The sequence below is a fragment of the Homo sapiens genome, chromosome 5 (assembly GCF_000001405.40).
Source record: "Homo sapiens chromosome 5, GRCh38.p14 Primary Assembly".
NCBI classification, from domain to species: domain Eukaryota; kingdom Metazoa; phylum Chordata; class Mammalia; order Primates; family Hominidae; genus Homo; species Homo sapiens.
The window spans coordinates 161,908,850-161,934,655 of NC_000005.10; the positions used below are offsets into that span (position 1 = coordinate 161,908,850).

Sequence of the window (25,806 nt, forward strand, 5' to 3'; positions counted from 1 at the left end):
TACACTAAATGTCCTGAAATGTAGAGACAGCAGATTGTCGTGTCTGATACTGGGGGTGGCAGTGGGAACTGGTTGGAATTGAGCATGAGGGATCTTTTTGGCACAATGGAAATGTGTTAAAATTGCACTGTGGTCATGGCTTCACAACTTTATTAATTTACTGGAAATTTTTGAGTTGTACATTTTAAGTAGGTGGCTTTTATACTGAGTAAGTTTTAACGCATTAAAGCTACAAAAATAATGATAGTTAACGTGAAGAACTGTTTTGAAGCATCACTGATATCAAATTTATGTAAAAGAATCAGGCATACTTCCTGTCCTATAGTATATCTTGCAAAATTAAATAAACTATTAAGATAAGGCCTCCATTTTTAGATTGCAACAAATATTTAAAATTGAGTCTAAGGAGAGAAAAAAAATTACCAATGGGCCAAACATAACACATAATAAAATAGGGTAGGGAATTCTTATCTGTAAATCAGAAGTAGGGTTAAGGGTCAGTATGGATCCAAATATCTAAATAATCTAGTCCACATATATGAGGCAGGTGACTTACTTAAAACATTTGTAGAAAGATTCAACCCACCTCCTTACACACTGTGTGCATACTTCCACACTTGAACAAAGGTATTCCCTGTAGGCAATAAGATAATACAGCACCTGAGTATCCTGGAAAGCCACAGACCAGTGGTTCTCAAACTTCAGCATGCATTAGAGTTGCCCAGAAGGGCTTGTTGAAAGACATATTGCTAAACCGTACCAACAGACTTTTTGTTTCAATAGGCCTGGGGTGGGATACATTTGCAAATTTTATTTTATTTGATTTTTATTATTATTTTTAAGACAGAGTCTTGCTCTTTTGCCCAGGCTGGAGTGCAGTGGCACGATCTCGGTCACTCCAACCTCCACCTCCCAGGTTCAAGCGATTCTCCTGCCTCAGCCTCCTGAGTAGCTGGGACTACAGGCACAGGCCACCTCGTAAGTCCCCAGCTAATGCTGATGCTATTGGGTCCACGAAACACACACTGAGAAATTTACATGTAATATCGACATTATCCACAGTCCATGTTTATGGATTAATTGGCTTTATTTCAGAATTTAAATTAACAATCCATGTGCTTGAGAAAGAGGAAAAACAGGTTTTAAACAATAAAGTATGGACTTATTAGAGAAAGCATATACATTTTATTATTAATGACAAGGAATTTAAAGTTTTATTAAATCTATGAGATTTTTGTTTCATTCAGTATAAAACTGGTAATTATAATAAATTCCACCCACAAATGGAAAAGTGAATACAAACACAATAAAGAAATACAATTCAATAAGCCAGTTAAAACAGAGATTTTTTACACAGAATAATACTCAAATATTTTTGAAAATTACTTTGTCCTTTAAAGAGGGAAACTCAATTTCAGACACTGTAAGTGAGACTATATTTTCCTCTCTACATTATTGCACAGCTATTTGTAGGTCAGCCAGAAATATTTTCTCCCACTGTTTGTAGCTGTATCTACTTTGCCTATTAGCTCTAGTGATTTGAGAGCAGGGAAATGTCTGTGAATATTATGATTATTATAAATGTTTATAATCTTGAATGATGAAGTATAATTTATGCTTAGAATAATCTCATTTTAGAGGATGGCAAATGCGCAAACAATAGACACTGCCTAGATGTTTATAATATTGATGGTTGAAAAACCATATTGTTGAATATAAATTTGAATTTCTGGCATCACAATTATCTCCAGGTAAGGAGTACAATAAGAGTCTCTTCATAGTATTCTTGAGTACGTCTCTTTAACAAAGCTATTCAAATACTAAAAGGTAAACACTTAAAATTGCTTTTATTAATACTGGTGATTTTCTGTTCTCCAGTAGCCATATCTCTTCAGACTACCAGTGGGAGTTGGTAAATTGACATATGGAAACTGAATCCACATACTGGGAGGCCAGTTGTCCTCATCAATTTTCTTTATGGCCCCTGCAAAAATAGAAATGACAAAACATAATATACTAAAACTGTTCTCCAATTCAAACTGTTAAAGCAAGCTAAATATGGCCTGAGAAGGATTCCGTTCATCTATATTTGGGTCCTTGTGGATGAACTGTAACCTAGCTTAATAGACAAAATTGAAAACCTAATTTAGGAATAGGTATCTGTAACAATAGCTGAGTTTTGGGCAATCCCAATGGCCATACTTCAACCATTCATAGACTGTTAGGTGTTCAAACTGTGTTCAAATAAGGCAAATGCCAACCTGTAACCAATCCACCTATTTCTGTACATCACTGTTGATTTCTGTACTTCATTTCCCTTTGTCTATAAATCTTCTTCCACCACGTGGCTGTGCTGGAATCTCTGTGAATCTGCTGTGATTCTGGGGGCTGCTCAATTCACAAATCGTTCATTCCTCAATTAAACACCTTTAAATTTAATTCAGCTGAAGTTTTTCTTTTATCAAACCTTATGTAATACTTATTAAAGAATCAGGAACGTACTTTGATTCAAAAACTATTTTCTTGAAGAAGGCACTATATAAAGGTAAGATGGGGGTGAGGAAAATGGGCAGATGTTGGTCAAAAGGTACAATCTTTAAGCATAAGATGAACAAGTTCAGGGGATCTAACAAACAGCATAGGTAGTGATGTAATTAATTTGATATGCATCATTACACAAAGTATATTAAATCATCACATTGCATACCTTAAATCTATACAATATTTTGTCAATTAAACATTTCAAAATTAATTCAAATAAACTTTTGATATGTGGTCCAAAAAAGGGGACTTTATCCCCTTAACAAATTTTAGCTAGTGACCAGAAAGAAGTTAAATATTGATGTACAATTATATCTCTGAACTCCATGTATCCTAAATATAACTTTCTATCAGAAAATAAGCTATTGTATGACAGTGATAACAATCATTATTAGAAGCTCACGATAATGTGTTGATTTTTAGTGTCAGGGATTACGCCATATATATATATATATATATATACACACATTATTTAATTCTTACATCCCTACTTCATAGGGATGACAATCTCCATTTTATGGATGAGAAAACTGAGACTTAAAAAGGTTATAAAACTTGCCCGTTGTTATATAGATAAAAAGTGCCAAACCAGGCTTAGAAACTTAGGATTGAAACTAGGTCATTTTTTATGAGTTTAAGTGGATTGAAAAAGTTATCTAGATTAATTCTTTTATTTTATAAATAAAATAAGAAGCCACAATGGATAAGCCCCCAGCTAAAGGTAGAGTCAGGATTATAATACACTAATACACATTTCTCAAATTCTAACAACAAATAAAAATATGAATTGGTTCCTTTACATTAAACCTGTTACTGTGTTGTCTTAACCCTTAACTATTACAGTTTACAGACAGAGAGAGAATCGGCGGTTGGGGGGAGAGAGAGAGAAAGAGAGAGAGAGAGAGAGGGAGAGATTTAACCCAAGATGTAACTTTCAGGCTATGGGTACTACAAGAAATTAATTCATTGAGTAGATACATGTTATGAATTGCTTATGTGTCAGGAAATGTTCTAGACACTAGGAATACAAATATGATTATAATTTGTATATATTCTCTCTCTCAGAATACCTCTCCCTTTAAGAAAACACAGGTAGCATAATAGGCCAAAGGTTCTTTGGGACACATATGAGCAGAACTATAGGGGGCTGAATGGTAGCTCTTCAAAATATATGTCCATGTTCTAACCTCGTAACCTGTGAATGTGACCTTATTTGGAAAAAGGATGTTTGCAGATGTAATTAAGGATTTTGAGATGAGATCATCCTGAATTATCTGGCCCTAAATTAAATGCCAAACCCTTAAAAGTCATTATAAGAAGGAAGAGAGAGATAACACAGACCAGAGACAACACACACAGAGGAGAAAGCCCTGAAGAGCGGAGTGATGCAGCCACAGGAGATTCCTGATGCCACTAGAAGATGGAAGAGACAAGCAAAGACCCTCCCCATGGAGCCTTCGGAGGGAGGCTTAACTGAGGGAGGCTTAACTTTTAAGCCTTCAGAGGGAGACTTAACTTTTGACCAACACCTTAACTTTTGACCGTTGGCTCCCGGAAAATTGAGAAAATAAATTTCTGTTGTTTTAAGCCAGGAAGTTGTGATAATTTGATACAAGAGTCCTAAGAAACAAATATAGGCACATATATGGATTTTCCTAGCCCTAGAAGAAGAGGTGTTCTAAGCAACAATTTTTGAAATAGATCTGTCATTAAGCTTCCTCTAATGTGGCAGTGAACTAAATAGCAACAGATATTTATGTTAAATGTCTGTATCAAGGAAGTTTCCTATAATAAGCAATTAAGAGTTAAAACTTTGGGTCTGGCATTGTGGCTCATGCCTGTAATCCCAGCACTTTGGGAGGCAGAGGTGGGTGGATCACCTGAGGTCAGGAGTTCGAGACCAGCCTTGCCAACATGGTGAAACCCCGCCTCTACTAAAATACAAAAATTAGCCAGGTGTGGTGGCAGGCACCTGTAATCCCAGCTACTTGGAAGGCTGAGGCATGAGAATCGCTTGAACCTGAGTGGAGGAGATTGCAGTGAGCCAAGATCCTGCCACTGCACTCCAGCCTGGGCAACAGAGGGAGACTCCATCTCAAAATAAATAAATAAATAAATAAATAAATAAATAAATATAAAACAACTTTGAATTTAAGAAATCTACTAATTATCTTATTTATTAAACAACAGGCTCTGAGTCTTGAAGTACTAAAGTCTGTGACTATAAAACATGGTACATTTCTAAGATTTTCCCACTGTACTACATAATGGTTTAATAATCTATTTAATGGTATTCAACAGCTCTTCCACATTTGGAACCAAATAATTAATTCTCACAAGTTTGAAAACATAAGCAAGCATTATTTATCATGAATTTAAACATTTAACAAGAATGCAGCAGAAATAAAAGCACTATTTTCTTTATAAAACTCTGTCTCACTGGGATAAAATATAATCTTTGGACCAAACTAGCATCGTCATCATCCTACTCATCTTCATAATTTAATCTTCATCCAAAAAGCCTGCATCTACTAAAATACTAGGTCATAAGTGGTGTTGAATAAAAATACCAAAACACAAAAGTACTGTTCACTTGAAAGGAAAAAAGATGAAGGTTTAGAACCCAAATGGATCATTTGTAAACATTTAAATACTAGGAATCAGAATCACTTATTTTCTGAATGAAAATTCAGGTTATGGAACTTGAAAAGTACATCCAGGGAAGTAACTTCACATCATAGATGAGGTCACTACATCACAGAGAAGTGAATTACCCAATTTGCACAGTCTATGGCAAAGGTGATATCTGAAATGTGATCTCAATTCCCTAGCCAATGCTATTTCCAAGATTCCTTATTCACATTTTTATATCTAAATAATGCATTACTATCAATGTTACCAAGACAAGTGAAGGGTTTTTTGTAGGTAGGTGTTGGATTAGGGAGAAGAAGAAGCTTGAGATGATCATTCTATTGTATGAACATCAATAAATTTCATATAATTATACTTCCCACACAAAGAGTAACCCAACTTAGATTTAATGATCATGAACTGTTATTTTGTTGGCTTAAAACATATGTTGTCTCAATAAGTAATATATTCTAACAGGTGGCATTCAGCTATTACTAAATTCCTACCTCTACCCATTGAAAGCTTTTAGAAGGGTTTCTACTCGAAAGCCCTAGTCCTCAAATGCCCGCCAGGCTATTATGAGATTATTTATTTAAACCACACAGGCTTTTCAAGTGTACAGACGTTTATAATTCTTTTATACACTCTGACAAAAGTAAAAGTTGCAATTCTAACAATAACCTTAACATTTAACCAAAATACACTTAAACTACACTTGTTAGAATATAAATATTACACTCATCCATAGACACGGTTAGGCTATTTTCCTCATGTAAGGTCAATGTACTAGAGCAGGTGGTAGGATGGACAGACTAAATTAAAAGAAATAAATTTCTCTTCCTTATTCCACTTATGTGTGGTATTGAACACAGTCAAACTCATAGAAGCAAAGAATAGAATGATGGTTGCCCGAGACTTGGGGTGAAGGTTTATGGAAATGGAGAACTGCTCCTCAGTGGGTAAAAAGCTTCTGTTTTGCAAAATGCGTTCGTTCTAGAGACCTACTGTATAACATAGTACCTATAGATAACAACACAATATTGTACACTGTAATATATCTTAAAAGGATAGATCTCATGTGAAGTGTTCTTACAAAAATGAAACATGGAAATATTTTGGGGGTGATGAATATATTTAGTATCTTGGTTGTGGTGATGCTATCACTGGTATATGCATATGAAGTAATTCATCAAGATGTGTATGTTAAATGTGTACAAATTTTTTTTTTTTTTTTTTGAGATGGAGTTTTGCTCTTGTCCCCAAGGCTGGAGTGCAATGGCGTGATCTTGGCTCACTGCAACCTCCGCTTCCCGGGTTCAAGGGATTATCCTGCCCCCACCTCCCAAGTAGCTGGGATTGCAGGCACATGCCACCACATCCAGCTAATTTTTGTATTTTTAGTACAGACGAGGTTTCGCCATGTTGGCCAGGCTGGTCTCGAACTCCTGACCTCAAACGATATGCCTGCCTTGGCCTCCTAAAGTGCTAGGATTACAGGCCTGAGCCACCAGGCCTGGCCAAATGTGTACAATATTTGTATATCAATTATACTTTAATGCAGCTAAAACAGAACAAATGCCCTTTTTTTTTCTTTTGGGTAAAGGGATGGTTTCTGGTGATTATTTGAAACGGAGTGTGCAAACAGTTAAGTCTGACGTAACTTTTACCTACCTTATTTTCTTCTCCCGTTATCTTTGCCAGTGAGTCATTAGGCATGAGCTTGTGACATAACTTTGAACATGAGGTGAAGGTGAAGTTTCCTATTGGGCTATGGAAAAGATTTCTTATTCCCTTGAAGAGGCACAGAGGAAAAGGCAGGCTCTTTTCTCCCTGGATGTGGTTGTGTAAGACTGCGTTTCCTTGAATTGCAGCAGCTATCTTGGGACCCTGATAAGAAACTCACCTCAGGAGAAAATTGACAATGCAAATGTAGAAAGGGGTGATGGAAAGAACCTGAATGAAGACTTTAACATAGATGATCTGCTGAATTAACCAAATGCATGGCTCTACTACTCCTAGGTTTCTTGTTAGGTAAGATAACATATGCCCTTATTATTTAAGCCATTTTGACGTAGAAGTTTTTTGTTAAAGCCAACAGCTTTCTAAAAGATGTCCAGAAGCAGATTATTGGGGCAATCAGGCAGAAAGGCAACCTGCCTAACAGATGAATGCTTTTAACTCCGTTTTCTTATGCCTAACCTATTCCAGGTGTCTCTCATTCTTTAGACTTCAAGGCTCCCTCATGATTTTACATTAAGTTAGAGTTACTCATTGAAGATTATTTGCTTTTGTTTGATTAGGGCAGGGTGTGTTTACAGCTGAAAATACAGAGATAATAAGTATTAAATGTAAATGACTCCTGCAAAAAAAATCATAAAGAAGCAGGTTTTTCCACTCCAATCAGACAATAGAGAGGATGCCACCTAGCATTGCTATCTGCATAGCAATATTCAGGAGACAGTTTATTGTCTAAATAGTTCAGACTCTCACAATTCAAGCACTCTTTTTTTTGGCAAGCTATTTTCTCCAATGAATATACACCTCAAACATTTTTAAATGTTTTTTATATATAGGTGAATATTTATTTTGACATAAAATAGAATTTATTTGAAACTTACATTCATTTTTGCAATGAGCAAGTGACCTAGATTTCTTTTTTAACTTGTACAAATTCAGTGACTCAATCTTGACTCACATTTACCTTTACCTGAAGGGTCTTGTTTCACTAGTTTGATTGTAAGTTGAGAAATTGAGACAAGAAATTTTTACGAAGTTTCATAACATGATTAAAAATTGTTTCAAGAACACTGTTTTTCATGTGAATTATGTAAAAGATAATGTTCCCTTTTATAGAGATGGGTGGCATGACTGCCTCTTAGTATAGCCATAAATGTAGGTTTATCCATAAAATATTAAACATTTACATCCAGCATTCCAGAATCAAGATACTTTATTACCTCAAAATTTTAGGTAGTTAATATGGTAGATAGTGTTGAAGAACTGCTTGTTCACTTTCTTCAATATGGCCCAACTGAGTTAATAAAGTGACATTTTATTTGGAAGGTAAGCTGAATTCAGATATGATTATTCTTGTTTCTTTCATATTATAATTTTATGTATTCCAATGGAAAATTGAGCTTCGTTTGAATGAGTAAAAATGAATTGAGGATTAAGCTGTCTGTCTGGATATGTGTTCAAATGTTTGGCAATAATATAATGTGCTACGTAGACCTCTTGTATCCTTGTGATCTTTATAGGGGATCCACATGGTCAAGTCTATTTTTTTCTAATGATACTAAGACCTTTTGTTTTGTTTCACTCAACTGACATTTGCACTGATGGGACAATAGCATTGTGGGTAAAATGTCTTGAACGTTAGAATAGATCAAGACACTCAAACCCAAAATTACAGTAGTCATTATGTTGTTTACCATCCAGCCATCACAGGAAAACAAAAACAAAAAAAGTCGGTTTTACTTAAAAGTATACGCAGTAAAGAAGTAAAACTATTGATTTTATTATATCTCAACCATTAAATCCACAACTCCTTGGTATTCTGTGTGATGAAATGGAAAGTATTTATAAAACACTTTTGCTGAAAGCTGAATGATTATGTTATTTTAAGGAGAAGTTCTTAAATAATTGCATGAATTCTTATCTGGGGCCTTGTTTCACAGAATACCATCTGTACGTAAAAAACCATTGGCACTATCAAATTTGGGTATTGGCCAGACATTTTCTCAAAATGAATGAAGTCATCTTATCACTTTGAAGAAAACAATGAATAGTATTTTTTGCCAGTAATAGGATTTGAGCTTTCAAGTAAAGATTTATATAACTCAGTGATTGAAACAACATTTTCTAAATGACTAGTGAATAATTTTTTTTAAACACGTATGGGTAGAATATCCATTCATGTCCCAGATGGACTATTGGATTTTGTTGTAACACAGTAAGAAAATTTTATAAATACAATTTCAGCTTCTATATTAACACTACCCTTTAAAAAACAATCATTTGTCAAATTTTTGTGTAATATCAGATAATATTCACGATTATCTTAAAAGAATATTTAAATATTTCTCCGCTTTCAACTACATATTTATTTGAGACCAGCTTTTATTCATATATTCAAACCAAAACAATGTATTGCAGCAGAATGAATAAGAATTAGATATAAGAATCTAGCTGTCTTCTATTAAGCTGGACATTAAGGAAGTTTGCAAAAATATAAATCAGTATCACTCTTTTTTTGTAAAAATAATTTTCATTGAAATTATTTTTGGTATTTAATCAGTTTAATTATTTTATGTTTAAATAACATGCATGTTTACCTTTTAATTTGTGTGTGTGTGTGTGTGTGTGTGTGTGTGTGTGTGTGTGTGTGTGTGTGGTGACGGAGTTTCACTTTGTTACCCAGGCTGGATGGAGTGCAGTGTTGTGATATCTTGGCTCACTGCAACCTCCGCTGCCTGAGTTCAAGCGATTCTCCTGCCTCAGTCTCCCAAGTAGCTGGGATTACAGGCATGTGCCACCACACCTGGCTACTTTTTGTATTTTTAGTAGTGATGGGGTTTCACCATGTTGGCCAGGCTAATCTCCAATTCCTGACCTCAGGTGATCCGTCCACCTTGGCCTCCCAAAATTATCTTTCAAATTTTAAAACAGCAAATACTGATAGGTACAAAAAATATACAAAAGTCTTTGGGGTCCTCAATAATTTATTATATGGCAAAAGAGTCATGAAACTAAAATATTTGAGAACTAGTGGTATAAGGTGACAGATAACAGTTACTTTGATTATATGCTGCGTTAGAGACATGCCCAGTACAAAAATAGACTATGGGGACTCCAGAGGGGGAAGGGTGGAAAGGGTGTAAGAGCTGAAAAATTATGCACTGGGTACAATATCTAGTATTTGAGTGATGGATATACTAGAAGCCCAACTCCCACAATTACACATGTAATGCCCATGCAACAGACAAGCACATTTACCTAGCTGAATCTAAAATAAAATTCTAAAAAGACTAAAAAAAAAAAAGATGAAAAAGAAAAATGCTGAATACTATCTCCAAAATCTAAGAATGAGAAACTCTGTTTTCTTACTTAGAATTTGTTACATGTTCCTATAGGTTTTAAAGACATTGACCAGAAATTTTCTGGAGGTCTTTCATTCATATCTTTGGCAACATGTTGATAATAACTACGGCAGCTATTACTTATTCACCTAATGCACTGCCAGACACTCTGGTAAGTGCTTCACACGCATGACCTCACTAACTCTTACAACTTCATGAATTTAGAATTATTTATGCTTGTTAGGAATTTTTTATAAAAGAAACTCAGGTAGAATTATTTTATCAGTCGTCATGTTTCTTACATGAGAGAGAGAAAGGGAATATTTTTCTCTAAGTGCCAGACACTGTCTTAAGCACTGGAAATGCCAAAGTGAACAAGACAATACAGGTTCCTGATCTCATAGACTTTACATTCCAGTGGTTTAGACGAATGATAGAAATGTAATTAAATCATTAAGATAAGTACAACTAATAATATAAACCTATTTATAAATAGCACCTATGGTGGTCAAGGATGATCTCCGTGGGAAATCAACACAAGTTCTAAGATATGAAAGCCAGCAACTGACAATATACATGAGCCAGAGAGAAAAGTAAGAGCAAAGGACCTGTGGCTGGGATACATTTGTTAAAATTCTAGAAGAGAAATAAAGTACACATAGCTCAAGTGTTGTGGCTGAGATAGAGAATTGGAGGAGATGCTGGATAGATATGCAGGGGATATCCTGGAGGGGGTTTTAGACCATAGTTGAAAGACTGGATTTAATGCTAAGTTTTATTAGAAGCCCTTATACTTAATCAAATGCCAGTGGCCCCAGTGCTCTGCTGCTTTTTTAACATGAATTAAAAATTCATGTTTTTTCAACTCTGCCAATAACTGTAACATCATAACTGTTTCAAAAGAGAGCCAGAGAGATAGAGTTGATTTTAAAATAGATAAGAATTGCTTTGTAGGAACAAAAATATTTGTACATCCCAGGTGGTTTTTAGAAGAAGGAAAATAAAACCTATTTCTCTAAATGGTAGGAGAAGTTGGAAAACCCAACCATGAGCTTAGTGAGTCAACCAAGTGAAATCTCATTTCCAGGAACCAAAACAGTATATCTTCTCTTTGGGTATGTATTCACGTGTGAGTTTTATTTGTTTCCTATTGATTGACTAATGCCTGGGGGGAAATGGTAATGTAGAAAATTGCAAGTACAAATTTGGAATTTGTTGTAAACTTGTAATGGATATATAAAGAAAAACTACAACCGGAAAATTAGAAAGGGCCAATTGAATGAGAAATAGATTAAGCTGATGTTGGGCTTGGAAAATTAGAGAACCATATTTTTTTAAGTTTAAATAAATAGTATCAGGATTCTCCCACTCCCCAAGATAGGCTGAAAACTATAAATTTCAATACCCTAAAAGAGAGATTGCATAAAAATGAAATGAGCTTTGTAAGGGGAATTTCAGAAGTTGGCATACCAGTTTTTTCTACCAAGTAGCTTTAGCTGAACCCCCCAAAAAGGGAAAATTTTGTTTATAACAGATGAAGAAGATAGTTAAACCTCAGTAAATAGGTTTTGGAATTTTAAGAGAGAAAACCCAGATTCACAGTTGATGAATACATAAACACTCTATTATATACACTTTAAAGAGACAATGAATAAAAAATATTATTCTTCCATCACAGAGAGTAATTATCACTCTAAAATATATTTTCTACGTGTATTGACCCTGAATTGAGAGAAAATGTATAACACTCATATCTTTTAATATTATGCTTGTTTTAATCTATCTCTATACTAAAGTAATAACTGAAGGCATATTAAAAATAATTAGTTTTAAAATTTTAGAGATTCTTACTGTAGAAGAGAAATGGAAAAGAGTTAGAGTCACTTAAACAATTCGGCCATGAAGGCACAGGCTATAATAAGACCCATCGGCAAGCTTCAGCCTTCTGGTGTGTTTTTGTTAAAAACAAAATAGAATCATTATTTCTAACTCAGGAGAAATTGTATACACACCGGTTTGTGGGCTTCTTTGGAATCAAAAGAAAAGCTGGCAACATTAGACCTGCATTCTGCAAGAAAATAGTGGCTACTTCCCCTTCCAGATTGGGCATGAATGTCTCTGCTCTTCTTGTTTCTTTCCCAACACCCCTGATGGGCCCCAACACCCTTGTTGGGCCCCAAAACCCAGCAGCCAGGTCTGGCTTCATTTATTGATACAATCTTTCTGAACCTTGCAGGCATTTGGAGCCCCTAAGTCTGTAACATTATGCAGATCTCAATGGAAACTAAACAGTTAGGATTTATTACCTAGTGCCTTCTTCATATATCTGGATATTTGACTATTTATCTTTCTTATACTTGAGGAAATAACTACACATTTATGAAAGTATGTATGTATGTGTGTATTTGTGTATTTGTCTCTCTCTCTCTCTCTCTCTCAATACATACAGCGAGAGGGAGAGAGAAAGAAGCATATACTTACACGTAATTATGCAGTTATCCCCACAAATATTTAAATATTGCCTTCTACACTCAGATCCTGGTGAAGACAGAGTAAAAAGCATAGCAAAAACAGCAACCACACATTCTTTGATGCAGAAAAATTACAAGCCCATAGGTGATCTTGATTCTAAATGAAACTTCTCAATAACTTCTTATGGTACGGATGACACAATTTTTTTAAATAAAGGACAATTTCTCTAACTTGGAATCCCTCAGCCTTTAGGTACCTGTTTGCTTTTGTTGTTGCCAAAGGTTATTGGGACATAGCAGAAATGACAGATTGTCTGGAGACCATAAGGCTGCTAGAAGCCCAAGGCAGTCCAGGCAGCACCAGGGAGCAAACTTCCACAGACTGCCAGGCCCTGTGCTCTTTAATCAGGACTGCTAAATGATCCAGGTGGCATGGATTTCGGGCCCCTTAGAATAATGCAGAAAAAAATAGTGAATATTCCCTTCCCAACTGTCCCTTTTGGCTCTTCTTCACTCAATACAAAATCCTTGGGGGCAAAGGAGACCTACTTTTAAGGAGGGGCCAAATATCCTCTGTTCATCTATGAGAATACAAAGAAATTACAAACCTAAGGGAAAGCAAAACAAAACACCAACAACAACACAAGAAGAACCTGTTTATCAGACCCAGAAAAGGGCAGAAATAGCCACAAGTCTAAAGATTTCTAAAGGCACTTCAAATAGAATGTATGATTTTAACCTCTTATTGTACTTCAGATGATTGTTCCCTGCATGAACTAGGTCAGGTCCCTGGACTAAAACTCGGCTCCCTCTGAATGTCTGCCTTAGGGGTATACTTCCGTCACCCCAATGTCTTTTGCAAACTCTAGAATTCCCATTTGAGGTTGATTTCTAATTCTTAGTGCCTCCATTAAATTGAAGGTTTATCTTTCTTTATTCCCCTTATTCTCTTCACTGGCAACCAGGCCCTCATTTGCCTTGCCTGGTACCCAAAGTCTCAGGTCCTATCTGCCCCTTCTCACACCCATCACTGGCTCTCAAGACTCTCACTGGTCAAGTGGTTCACCAGAGAGACATGTGTCAAACATAAAATCAATATCACGTTAGAGGCAAAGTTAATATGGTGTTGAGTCACTTACAAACCTAGCTTTGATTCACTCCAAGGACTGTACTCTTAATAGCAATAAAAATTTTACTAAATCCACAAGAAAGTGGGTGAATGGAAGGGACAGAATGCACTGGTGGGTTCAGAGGTGAATGCACCCTCATGAGCTTGAAAATCAAGAAAAAATGCTCCTCCGTGTACTCCAAATGGACAGGTAAAGTTTGAATATAAAGTCCAGAAGTAGTGAGTATCCTGGGATGGAGAACAAAAAGACAAAGGTGACAGTTTAGAATCTACTGGGGCACATTGTGAGAACAATGAGGAAATGGTCTGTTTAAGCCATTTTGTTTCCAACAGGAGAGCAGCTGTGGAAGCTAAGACCATGTTCTAAAATAACATGTCTTAATGTACGCATTATTCCCATTCACAAAAACATCTACTAAAGTGCAGTGCTTAGGAGTATGAATTCTACTTTAAAGAGACAAATTTGAAATGTCCACTGACATTAACGCTCGGTGTGAACAACATTAAATCCTATATCCTGTCTATGACTTATTTTCCTACTATTTAGAGTAGGAATATTATTATTTAGTTTCTAGACAGATTGGGTAAATTGAATGAGGTAATGCATGGAAAAATTAAACAAAATATCTTGCACATAGAATTATTCAATAATTATATCATTAATTATTCAATCATTTGATATTTTTGAATCATCTATTTGGTTATATTTGCTGTGCTTGACACAAGTACTAGAAGGATGAGTAACATTGAGTTCCTGGACTCATCTCATCGTCTGTGAAGAAAGAGAGAAGTTAACCAATAGTTTTAATACCACATCATATGTAATGTGTTGAAGGTAAATACAAAAGGTCTCACCCCAATGCAGTGGAATGAGTAACACCTGAGGCCAAAGGGTTTGCGGTGCTAAGGAGCAATACCTGATTCAGGACTAGGAGGTCAGATCAGTTTTCCACAACATGGAAGTAAGAGCTGACAAAACAGAAAGGATCTTCCAAGCAGAAGGAAACGTAGGTACAAAGGTCTCCCAAATAGTTCAAATTGACTTAGTCGAATGGTGCACCAGGAGCACACCCGGCCAGGACAGGAGACAGGATTGGAGAATTTCCCAAGGACCTGACATTCGTTCAGTACTGATTCAAGTAGTGTTGGTGGAGGTTGTTACTTTCTGCATGAAAATCACAAGAAAAAAAGAAGGAAGGCGAGTGACTTCATAGAGTCTCTTATGATGATTAAAAGCATTGGCTTTGGAGACAGGGAGGCTTTGCATTTTTAAACACGGTTGTTACCTTCATAGCTTCAGGTAAGTTAACTGGTGCAAATCTCATCTTCCTTATCCATAAAATGGGGACATTTTCCCCATGGAATTACAATGGTGATTAAATAAGGTAATGTTAACAAAACAATTAGATCAGTGCCTGGCCTATAACCCAGATTCTGTATTTGCTATCCCCACTTACCACTGATTATTTTATTAATGGAAAGGCTTTGTTAGAGAAGTCACAATGAAAGGGGTGGCCCTTTATAACATGTGGCCCTACTCCTGTAAACATAGCTGGTTTTACCAAGGCTTCAAAAGTGACACAAAATTCTTTCAAGTAATGTGAAAGTTGAGTCACTTAAACGTTATGCTTGAACTAAGATGTCACAATGGAAATATGAGAGAACACTTACTAGTTTCTTACTATGTGTCAGGTATATAGTTACTATGTTATCCAATTATCAACCATACTTTACAAATTTAAAAAGAGAAGGACTGAAGTAAATTAGTCAAGTCATCATAAATAATCAATAATTTATTAATTCAGTGTTTGATTTAAAAGGAAAGTTTGAATTGGATTATGTAAGCTGAAAGCTCTTGCATAGAAAATAGGAAAAAAAATGTAAATTTTATTGTTGATTGATTGGTGGCAATCTTGGACACGCTCTTTTACCCTCTCCAGCCCTTGTCTTCCACATCCGTAAAGTGAATAGATATGTTTGAGGCATGCTAAAAATTTTATGTTTTTATAATTTTATGTTAGTTTTCTATAGATTTATCAGTCAAGCTGGACTTTTCTATATCTTCTTGGGAAATTTCTGAAATAATTTAATTTAAAAAGCTACTAGAAGTTAATATATTATCCCATCATAGAATTAAAAATTCCTAACATTGTTATTCACACTTCCTCACTTCTTTTCCCAGGCAGGCATTGCAAATCAATCACCACACTCATTCTTGCCAAGACTGGATGAGGCCCGATTATCTCAGTGAAATCAGAAATGACAGATGAAGTAAAACTTATTTGTCAAGACATCTGCATAGTGATGTCTTGAAAAAGAAAAAAAAACCTCTAGATTTCACACGAACCATTTTGAATACAAAGTTTGCTATGTTGGGGCCAAAATACGCTCATTTTTTTTACAGCTCCTTGAATTCTGCCTGCCATCAACAAAATCAAGCACCATGTACTTCTTACAGCCTTTCCAGTTATCCAACCTAACACTAATACCTCTCATTTTGTTTAGTAACCAGAGGACCAGCTTCCTGGGCCTTGATTATATCAATTTGGAGCATGATTATATAATGTCTTATAGAGTTAAACGAGTTTTTCTTACATTTATTCATTCGTTATTCAACAAATATTAGCTAATTTGTTTTTATAGATGAGGCAGTGATCTAGGCACTATAAATAAAACATGAAGATGATAGACACAGATTCTACAACTGAAGTTCCTTTTTTACAGTAGATAGGCAAAAACTATAAAATGTAATTAACGGGTTATAGGAACACAGAGTAGGAGTGTCTGAGGCATGAAGGAAGTCTTCCTGGAAAACATGAATTTGAGTTCTAGAGGATGTGTAGTAATTAGAGAAATACAGATAAAAGCAATGGGGTTCCATGATAAGGGGACATGAGGAACAAACGTCTAGAGCCAAATGAAAGGATGATAAATTAGTGAAGGAGGGAGAATTCAGCAAGTCTCAGGTACAAAGTGAAAAATGGTAAGAGATAAAGTTGAAGAACAATAGACGGATCTATTAATAAATGTTCTTGGAAACAAATTCAACTATGGATAACTTTTTAGAAATAAAAATAATTTAAACTGGCTGATATGGTTGGGCTGTGGGCTGGGCCCAGGCCCCCCTTGCTGTGTGCAGTCTAGTGACTCGGTGCTCTGCATCACTGCTGCTCTAGCAGTGGCTAAAAGGGGCCAAGGTACAGCTCAGGCCATGGCTCCAGAGGGTGCAAGCCCCAATCCTTGGCAGCTTCTACATGGTGTTGAGCCTGCAGGTGCACAGAGGTCAAGAATTGAAGTTTGGGAACCTCCACCTGGATTTCAGAGGAGGTACTGAAATGCCTGGATGTCCAGGTAGAAGTTTGCTGCAGGGATGGGGTCCTCATGGCAAACCTCTGCTAGAGCAGTGTGGAAGGGAAATGTCAAGTTGGAGTCGCCACACAGAGTCCCTACTGGGGCACCCCCTAGTGGAGCTGTGAGAGAGGGCCACCATCCTCCAGACCCTAGAATGGTTGATCCACTGACAGCTTGCACCATGCACCTGGAAAAGCCACAGACACTCAATACCAGCCTGTGAAAGGAGCCAGAGGGAGGCTGTATCCTGCAAATCCACGTGGGCGGAGCTGTCCAAGACTATGGGAACCCGACTCTTGCATCAGTGTGACCTGGATGTGAGATATGGAGTCAAATGAGATCATTTTGGAGCTTTAAGATTTGACTGACCTGCTGGATTTCAGACTTGCATGGGGCCTGTACCCTTTTGTTTTGGCTAATTTCTCTCATTTGGAATGGGTATATTTACCCAATACCAGTACACGAATTGTAGCTAGGAAATAACTAACTTCCTTCTGATTTTACAGGCTCATAGGCGGAAGGGACTTGCCTTGTCTCAGATGAGACTTTGTACTGTGGACTCTTGAGTTAATGTTGAAATGAGTTAAGACTTTGGGGGACTGTTGGGAAGACATAATTAGTTTTTAAATGTGAGAACACGAGAGTTGAGAAGGTCCAGGGGTGGACTGATATGGTTTGGCAGTGTCTCCATCCATATCTCATCTTGAATTGTAGCTCCCATAATTCCTACGTGTTGTGGGAGGGACCCAGTGGGAGGTAATTGAGTCATGGGGTGGGTCTTTCCCATGCTGTTCTCATGATTGTTAATAAGTCTCATGTGATCTGATGGTTTTATAAAGGGGAGTTCTCCTGCACAGGTCCTCTTGCCTGCCACCATATTAGACTTGTCTTGCTTCCCCTTCAACCTCTGCCATGATTGTGAGGCCTCCTTAGCTATGTGGAACTGTGAGTCAATTAAATTTCCTTTCTTTATAAATTACCCAGTCTTGGGTATGTCTTTATTAGCAGCATAGGAACAGACTAATACACTGGTTAAACCACATAATTGAGATAGAAGCTGTGTAGTCAGATCACAAGAAATGTAGAAACAAAGCGGTTCCCAGAGATCTCAGTAGCAGAGATTCATGATATCTTCGTTAGGGCACAGTCATTGCATTGCATTGACTCAGTTCTGACCAACTTTGGTCCTTTTTGGCACTCTACTATGTATTCAATTCTTGGAAAAGATCGATTGATCTCATTTGGTTCATGTCCTCATTCTCTAGAGCAACACTGTTGTTGACAGTCCTAACAGAACACTATGAAATGGGAGAGGTAATTTCTTCTGAAACAAATATGCGTAGGTGCACTATGTAGGCAAAAGGAGCTGCAAAGGACAAAGAGCAACAGACTCAAGACATGCATACCACATCATCATGATAAATCTGGATGCTAAACTAAAGAAAATAGCGTGACACTGGGCAATTCATACAGGAGAATGACATGAGCAGGTCTGCACTAAAGATAGACACAATGAGATATGGATTACAGGTAGATCATCCTGAAGGCCTAAGGTTATAGAAGTGAGAGATTATGGATGGAGATCTGAATAAGATAGTAGTAGGAGGAACAGAGAGAAGAAAACTGGTTCAAGAGATATTAACCTGTAGAAGGAAAAAGGCAAGGAGAAGCCGTATGTATTAGAGCAGCTAGCACATTTTCAGGAACAAAGCAATAACTCAGCAAATATCTATTGATATGACATAAACACAGAACCCTATGTCTTAGAAGGTGCTTAGTAAATTTTGGCATTTATAGACATTCTATGCATTACAACACCTGAATTTTTTCAAGTTGCTCTTCATTTTCTTTACATAATTCATAATAATTTCTTTAATCCCTCAATCTTCATAGTTGTATTGCCTAATTATAAGTAAGGATGCTTGCATTTTTAGGGAAAATGCATTTGTTTCATTTGAAGAAGAATCTTTATGTTAGAATTAAATTGAACATTTAGAATAAATAGTTTCAAACATGCACCTGTTGCTTAAAATGCAAGAAGATAGAAAACCTTGGTAGGTGGACATGTAAGAGTAACTCTAATAAATCTTCCAAAATTTTACATTTGTTAATGATGATAGCCTTTACAAAGCTCAGATTTCAGCTTTTTTCTCATCTACAACTGTGACAAATACAGTATTTTTCACCCATTTTGAGAAAATAAAACAATTTTCTTGGCACGTGGAATTTCACAGTAATTAATTGGAGATATGGATGTTAATAAGATTTGATGTAATCTAATTTGTATGAATTAAATCATTTTAGTTGTTAAGCTTGTGTAATGGCAGCCCACATTTTAGATAATTCCTTGTTTCTGGAACAAAGTAAGATGAGCAAGGAAAAAAAATATCACCAAAATGTGTAAAACAAAACCAAAAGAAAAACATTGTAGAAAAAAAGGTTGCTTTAGCATACCAACCTGAGTAAGGTTTTAGGAGTTACAGATGAAAATCTATAGTCATCGTCCTATGCACCACTGTCACAAAAGAAGAAAATGCTAAAGGTTGCTTTAGCATACCAACCTGAGTAAGTTTTTAGGAGTTACAGATGAAAATCTATAGTCATCGTCCTATGCACCACTGTCACAAAAGAAGAAAATGAGAAAGTAGGGTAAGGGCTCAGGAGAGTTAGAATTGAAATATAAATTAAATGTAATCATGCAGTGTATTACCACCTATGCACCTGCACAGCTCAAAAACCCATTTCAGCATAAACACAGCAACGGGCTGTTCCATCTGTAACTAGCTGACCTCAAAAGAGAAAATAAAATGATCTATTTTCACAATTGAAGCGTACTCTTGAGTAAAGAAATGTGATTTTAAGGGCATAGTTGGCACAGTGTTGCAATTCAAACGAACTGTTCGTTTGAAAGAATATCATTGATCAATCTCCTTTTTTTTTTCTTCCTCTCCTATCCCCTTGTCTTTTTGAAAACTGGAAATATAAGATCCAAAATTTGAATTTGGAGGAATAAAACATTAAAAAAGAAATGATTCACAATTGATTGAAAACAAGTTTTCCAGTGATGATTTTAAGAACAGTGTATGTAATCATGTCCTATGCTCCAAAGTACAATTGCAATTATTTAGGCAAAAAAAAAAAAAAATCACCATTCTCCAATTACAACACCTAAATAGATTTTAATATGAACTCACACGCCTTGTGTATACATGGAGTTAATAACTGGTGAGCATCAAGCACTAGAGAAATGATTTCTTCCACCCTCCCAGGGAAGTTTGAGGGTCCTGAAACTTATATATTACATTATATAACCTATATATTACATATAATATACACACATATGTATATATACGGGTGTATATATATATATATATATATATATATATATATATATAGTCACATACATTCTAGATATAAACAATAAAAAAGAAATTGTGGTGCAAAGGAATATTATTCAGACTTAAAAGATAAGAGGATGCTTCCATTTGTGACAGTATAGATGAACCTGGAAGACATTATGCAAAGTGAAATAAACCAAACACAGAAAGAAAAATACTGCATGACTTTATTTATACATGGAATCTAAAAAATGTTAAATACATAGAAGTGGAGATAGTAGAAAAGTAGTTATCAGTGTGAGGAGGAGAAAATGGGAAGGTGTAGGTCAAGAGGTACAAATCGTAATTATGTACATGAACCTATCTGAAGATGCAATGTGCAACAAGAGAACTAAATTTCATATTATAATATACTATATTCCAGAATACATGAGTCAATAATAAAAAATCAATTTATGTATATATAATATAGTAAATAATTGTGCATACCTTATACAACTACTTCAGAAATATTCTAGCTAAAAAAATCAAAATATGCTATGCTTAATAAAAGTGAAAAAAATTCTCATATATAATTGTGATGGTTAATACTGAGTGTCAAGTTGATTGAGTTGAGGGATACTAAGTATTAATCCTGGGTGTGTCTGTGTGGGTGTTGCCAAAAGAGATTAACATTTGAGTCAGTGGGCTGGGGAAGGCAGATCCATCCTTAATCTGCTGGGCACAATCTAATCAACTTTCAGGAAATATAAAGCAGGCATAAAAGCCTGAAAAAGGAGAAAGACAGGCCTAGCCTCCCAGCCTACATCTTTCTCCCATGCAGGATGCTTCCTGCCCTAGAACATTGGACTCCAAGTTCTTCAGTTTTGGGACTCAGACTGGCTCTCCTTTTTCCTCAGCTTGCAGACAGCCTATTGTGGGACCTTGTGAATTAATACTTAATAAACTCCCATATACTTATATGAGGTATATGTGATGCTGTTCCTACATTTATATAAATGTTGGATTCATTGTTAAAAGACCAGATGGGTGTACAGTCTCCTGGACTACTCTCTCTCTCTCTCTCTCCATATATATATATATAAATATATATAATGTATATATAGAAATATATATAATATATAATAGGATATATATATATATATATATATCCTACTAGTTCTGTCCCTTTAAGAGAACTCTGACTAATACAGTAACCATTTTCCACTAGTATTTAGGCAGGTAAATACAGTAACCATTTTTTGCTAGTATTACACTAGTATTTAGGCAGGTAGATTAGGATATGTACTAATTAGTAGCAACATTTAAATAAGTGCAATATTGCATTACTGAGATAAAGTACCGTCATTGAAGGCATTGTTCTTTCTTTTTTTTTATTTAAAAAAAAGGAAAAAGAAATATGATTGCTAGTATTCATGGGCTTTTTCAGCAAGTTTGTTATATTTCTCACATTCTTGATATGTCTGTGATATAAAATATTTCCATTCAAACTGTAGCATATATAGGTCACTCATTCATTCATTTGAACATGACTTTAAAGAGAAAGTACTCATTTAAATACTTCTTTGTCAGAAATATATCATCCTCATTGTCTTGAGAAACTGTCCTTTTACAGGTCACCTAAAAATATGAAATTCTGTTTTACATGTGTAACTGAGTAATCAGGAAAGGCTTGGAAGTGGGTTCACTGGAGAGGTAAGTGAACACAAACCTTCTTTTGTCTTGAGAGTATCTCCCTAGTGGACTGTAACTTGGGTTCTAACAGAGCATGGTCACCGATGGCCAATACATTCAGGTTTTGACTTCTACGACTGGAGTGTGATTGCTAGTAATTATTCAGACTCCTAATCAGTGCAAATATTTTAGCTTATTTTTCTCCAACACCAGCATGCCTACTGGTTGGTTTGACCTCATTCACTCTGATCCCTGGAAGTGTTTCCCACATTGGTGGGTTCAAGTACATTTCTGCAAGCTACCTAAATTCTTAAAGCCTGCCAACGGCCTGCAGTTAAAGCATTACCACACACTAAAATGGTAAAAATAAATAATCATTCTTATATGTGGGATTTAAAGCTTCTGCAGGTGCTGTATAATGCATCTCCTCTTTTAATGGCCTTGAAAATAAGGCATAGAATTGTCTGACTTTAAGACAGAAAAATCCAGGGAGGTGCTGCTGCCATCATCATACTGACTGACAGCCTGCTGTATTGACCACTCAGCAAAATGGGCTGAACTGACAGCAATGTGCTGGCCACAGAAAATGCTGTTCCTACATTTATATAAATGCTGGATTCATTGTTAAAAGACCAGATGGGCGTACAGGCTCCTGGACTACCCAGATATGTATTGTTTAAGGAATGACCACGTGTGTTGACTAACTATGGGAACAGATGCAAATATTTAGGCAACAAGCCAATCGTATTGTCACACATGTACCTGCCCAAAGAGGGTTCCACATCTAGAGGAAAAATCCTTTCTGCCAGCAAAACCTATCCATTCAGTTACAATTCTCTGGGATTGTGAAAGTCTGGAGACTCTTATTCTGTGACTGTGAAAGTCTGGAGACTCTTACGCATCCTAATAGTCCTTTCCTTCTTTTTTTTTTTTTTTTTTTTTTTTTGAGATGGAGTTTCGCTCTTGTTGCCCAGGCTGGAGTGCAATGGCACGATCTCAGCTCATCACAACCTCCACCTCCCAGGTTCAAGCGATTCTCCTGCCTCAGCCTCCTGAGTAGTTGGAATTACAGGCATGCACCACCACGCCCAGCTAATTTTGTATTTTTTATTAGAGATGTGGTTTCTCCACGTTGATGAGGCTGATCTCAAACTCCTGACCTCAGGTGATACGTCTGCCTCTGCCACCCAAAGTGCTGGGATTATAGGCGTGAGCCACCATGCCCAGCCTAGTCCTCTGCTTCTACGTGTCTAATTTAAACTGTCACTGCCTGTGTTTGTGGTGTTTGTCCCAGCAGCATACTTGACAAGTTTCTTTTATGGGAAAGAGAAAGAAGAATATATTCAGAGAGAGCCATATAGAGGGCTTCAAAGTACCGGTAATTTTCCATTACTGTGCTGTGTAGTGAGCACACAGGAATTCATTTCACTTTTATCCTTTGAACTGAACAATAGCATAATATGTAATTTTTGGTATAAGTAATTTCCATAATATTTCATATTATTTAATATATGACAAGTCTACTCATACTGTTCCCAAACAGTGTACTGAAACACACTGGGGTGTCACAGAAAATTTACATGGGTGTTGTAGGATATTATTCAATTTTTAGGTAGACACAGATATACAATTTTGCACAACTGTGAGTGTGCAAACTATCAGCCTGATGAAGAATATAGTTTCAATATTAGATTGCTACATCCCTTCAATGATGTCATTTCTTTGGAAAGCTTGGTTTTCAGTAGTTATTGTGATAAAAGTTGGTAGTATGTAAAATCTATGTGTAACAGAAAATGAGAATAGGAATGTCCAATCTGATTACAAAATTTGAGAACTTGTTCAGTGCTCAAGTTCACCTGGTGTTAGTACATAAATATTTAATTTATTTGAGAGAATCTACATAATAAATGAAATACACATATATATCTTATTCATGTATATGAATATATGATATACCTTGTTTTTTTGCACTTTGCTTTATTGTGCTCTGCAGATACTGTGTTTTATACAAATTGGAGGTTTGTGACAACTTTACATCAAGCAAGGCTTTCGGGGCCATTTATCCAACAACATGAACTCACATCATATCTCTGTGTCACGTTAGGGTAATTCTGAGAAAATTTTAGACTTTTTCATTATTATTATATCTGTTGTAATGATCTATGATCTTTGATGTTACTATTGTAATTGTTTTGAAACACCACTAACCACACCCACATAAAACAACAAACTTAATTGATAAATGTTGTGGGTGTTCTGATTGCTCCACTGATTGGTCTCTCTCTTTTTCTCCTTGGGCCTCCCTATTCCCTGAGACACAAATATACTGAAATTAAGCCAATTTATAATTCTATAATGGCCTCTAAGTGTTCAAGTGAAAGACAGTTGAACATTTGTCACTTTATACAAGAACTAGTAATTATTACACTTGGTGAAGAAGACATATCGAAAGCTAAGATAGACCAAAAGCTGGGCCTCATGCACCAAACAGGTTGTGACTGCAAAAAAACCAAAAAAAAACGAAACAAAACAAAAAAACTTCCAGAAATGAAAGGTGCTACTCCAGTGAAAGCATAAATAATAAGAAAGTGAAACATCTTTGCTGCTGATATGGAGAAATTTTGAATGGTCTGGATAGATCAAACCAATCTCTACATTCCCTTAAGCCAAAGCCTAATCCAGAGCAAGACCCTAACTCTCTTGAATTCTATGAAGGCTGAGAGAAGGGAGGAAGTTGTGGAATAAAAATGTAATGCTAGCAGAGGTTTGTTCGTGAGGTTTAAGGAAAGAAGGCATCTCCAGAACATAAAAGTGCAAGGTGAAGCAACAAGTATTGATGGAAAAGCTGCAACAAGTTATCTAAAGATCTAAGTAAATTAATTGATGAAGGTGGTTACAATACACAATGGAGTTTCAATAGACACAAGAGCCTGCTGTTGGAAGAAGATGCAATGAGGACTTTGGAAGCTAGAGAGACTTTAATCCCTGGCTTCAACCCTTCAAAGGACAGAGTGACTCAATCTTATTAGGGGCTAGTGCACCTGGTAACTTTAAGTTAAAACCAAGCTTATTTACCATTCTGAAAGTCATACAGCCCTTAAGAATTATGCTGAATTTACTCTGCCTTTGTTGTATAAAAGCAGTGACAAAGCTTGAATGAAAGCACATCTGTTTACAGCCCAGTATGCTGAGTACATTCAGTCCACTGTTGAGACCTACTGCTCAGAAAAGCAAAAGAGCCCTGTTAAAAATTACTGTTCATTGACAATGCACCTGATCACCCAAGAACTCTGATGGAGATGGACAAGGAGATTAATGTTTACATGCCTGCTAATATGCCATCCATTCTACAGCCCATGGACCAAGCAGTGATCTTGACTTTCAAGTTTTATTATTCAAGAAATACATTTCACAAGGCTACTGCTGCCATAGATAGCAAGTTGCCTGATGGATCTGGGAAAAATAAAATGAAAACCTTCTGGAAAGGATTCACCATTCTAGAGGCCATTAAGAACATTTGTGATTCATAGGAGGAGGTCAAAATAGCAATATTAACAAAAGGTTGTAAGAAGTTGATTTCAACCCTAATGCAT

General features: G+C 36.1%; 1 long non-coding RNA gene across 1 annotated transcript in view; it reads right to left on the reverse strand.

Annotated features, from left to right (window-relative positions):
* Window positions 1-1,612: 1,612 nt before the first annotated feature.
* The window catches only part of LINC01202 (long intergenic non-protein coding RNA 1202), a 90,735-nt gene continuing 66,541 nt past the window's right edge, over window positions 1,613-25,806 (reverse strand). The window contains exons 2-3 of the long non-coding RNA NR_126372.1: window positions 14,768-15,015; window positions 1,613-1,984 (exon numbers count right to left, since the gene is read on the reverse strand). This is a non-coding gene — a long non-coding RNA (long intergenic non-protein coding RNA 1202). The remainder of the gene's footprint in view (window positions 1,985-14,767; window positions 15,016-25,806) is intronic.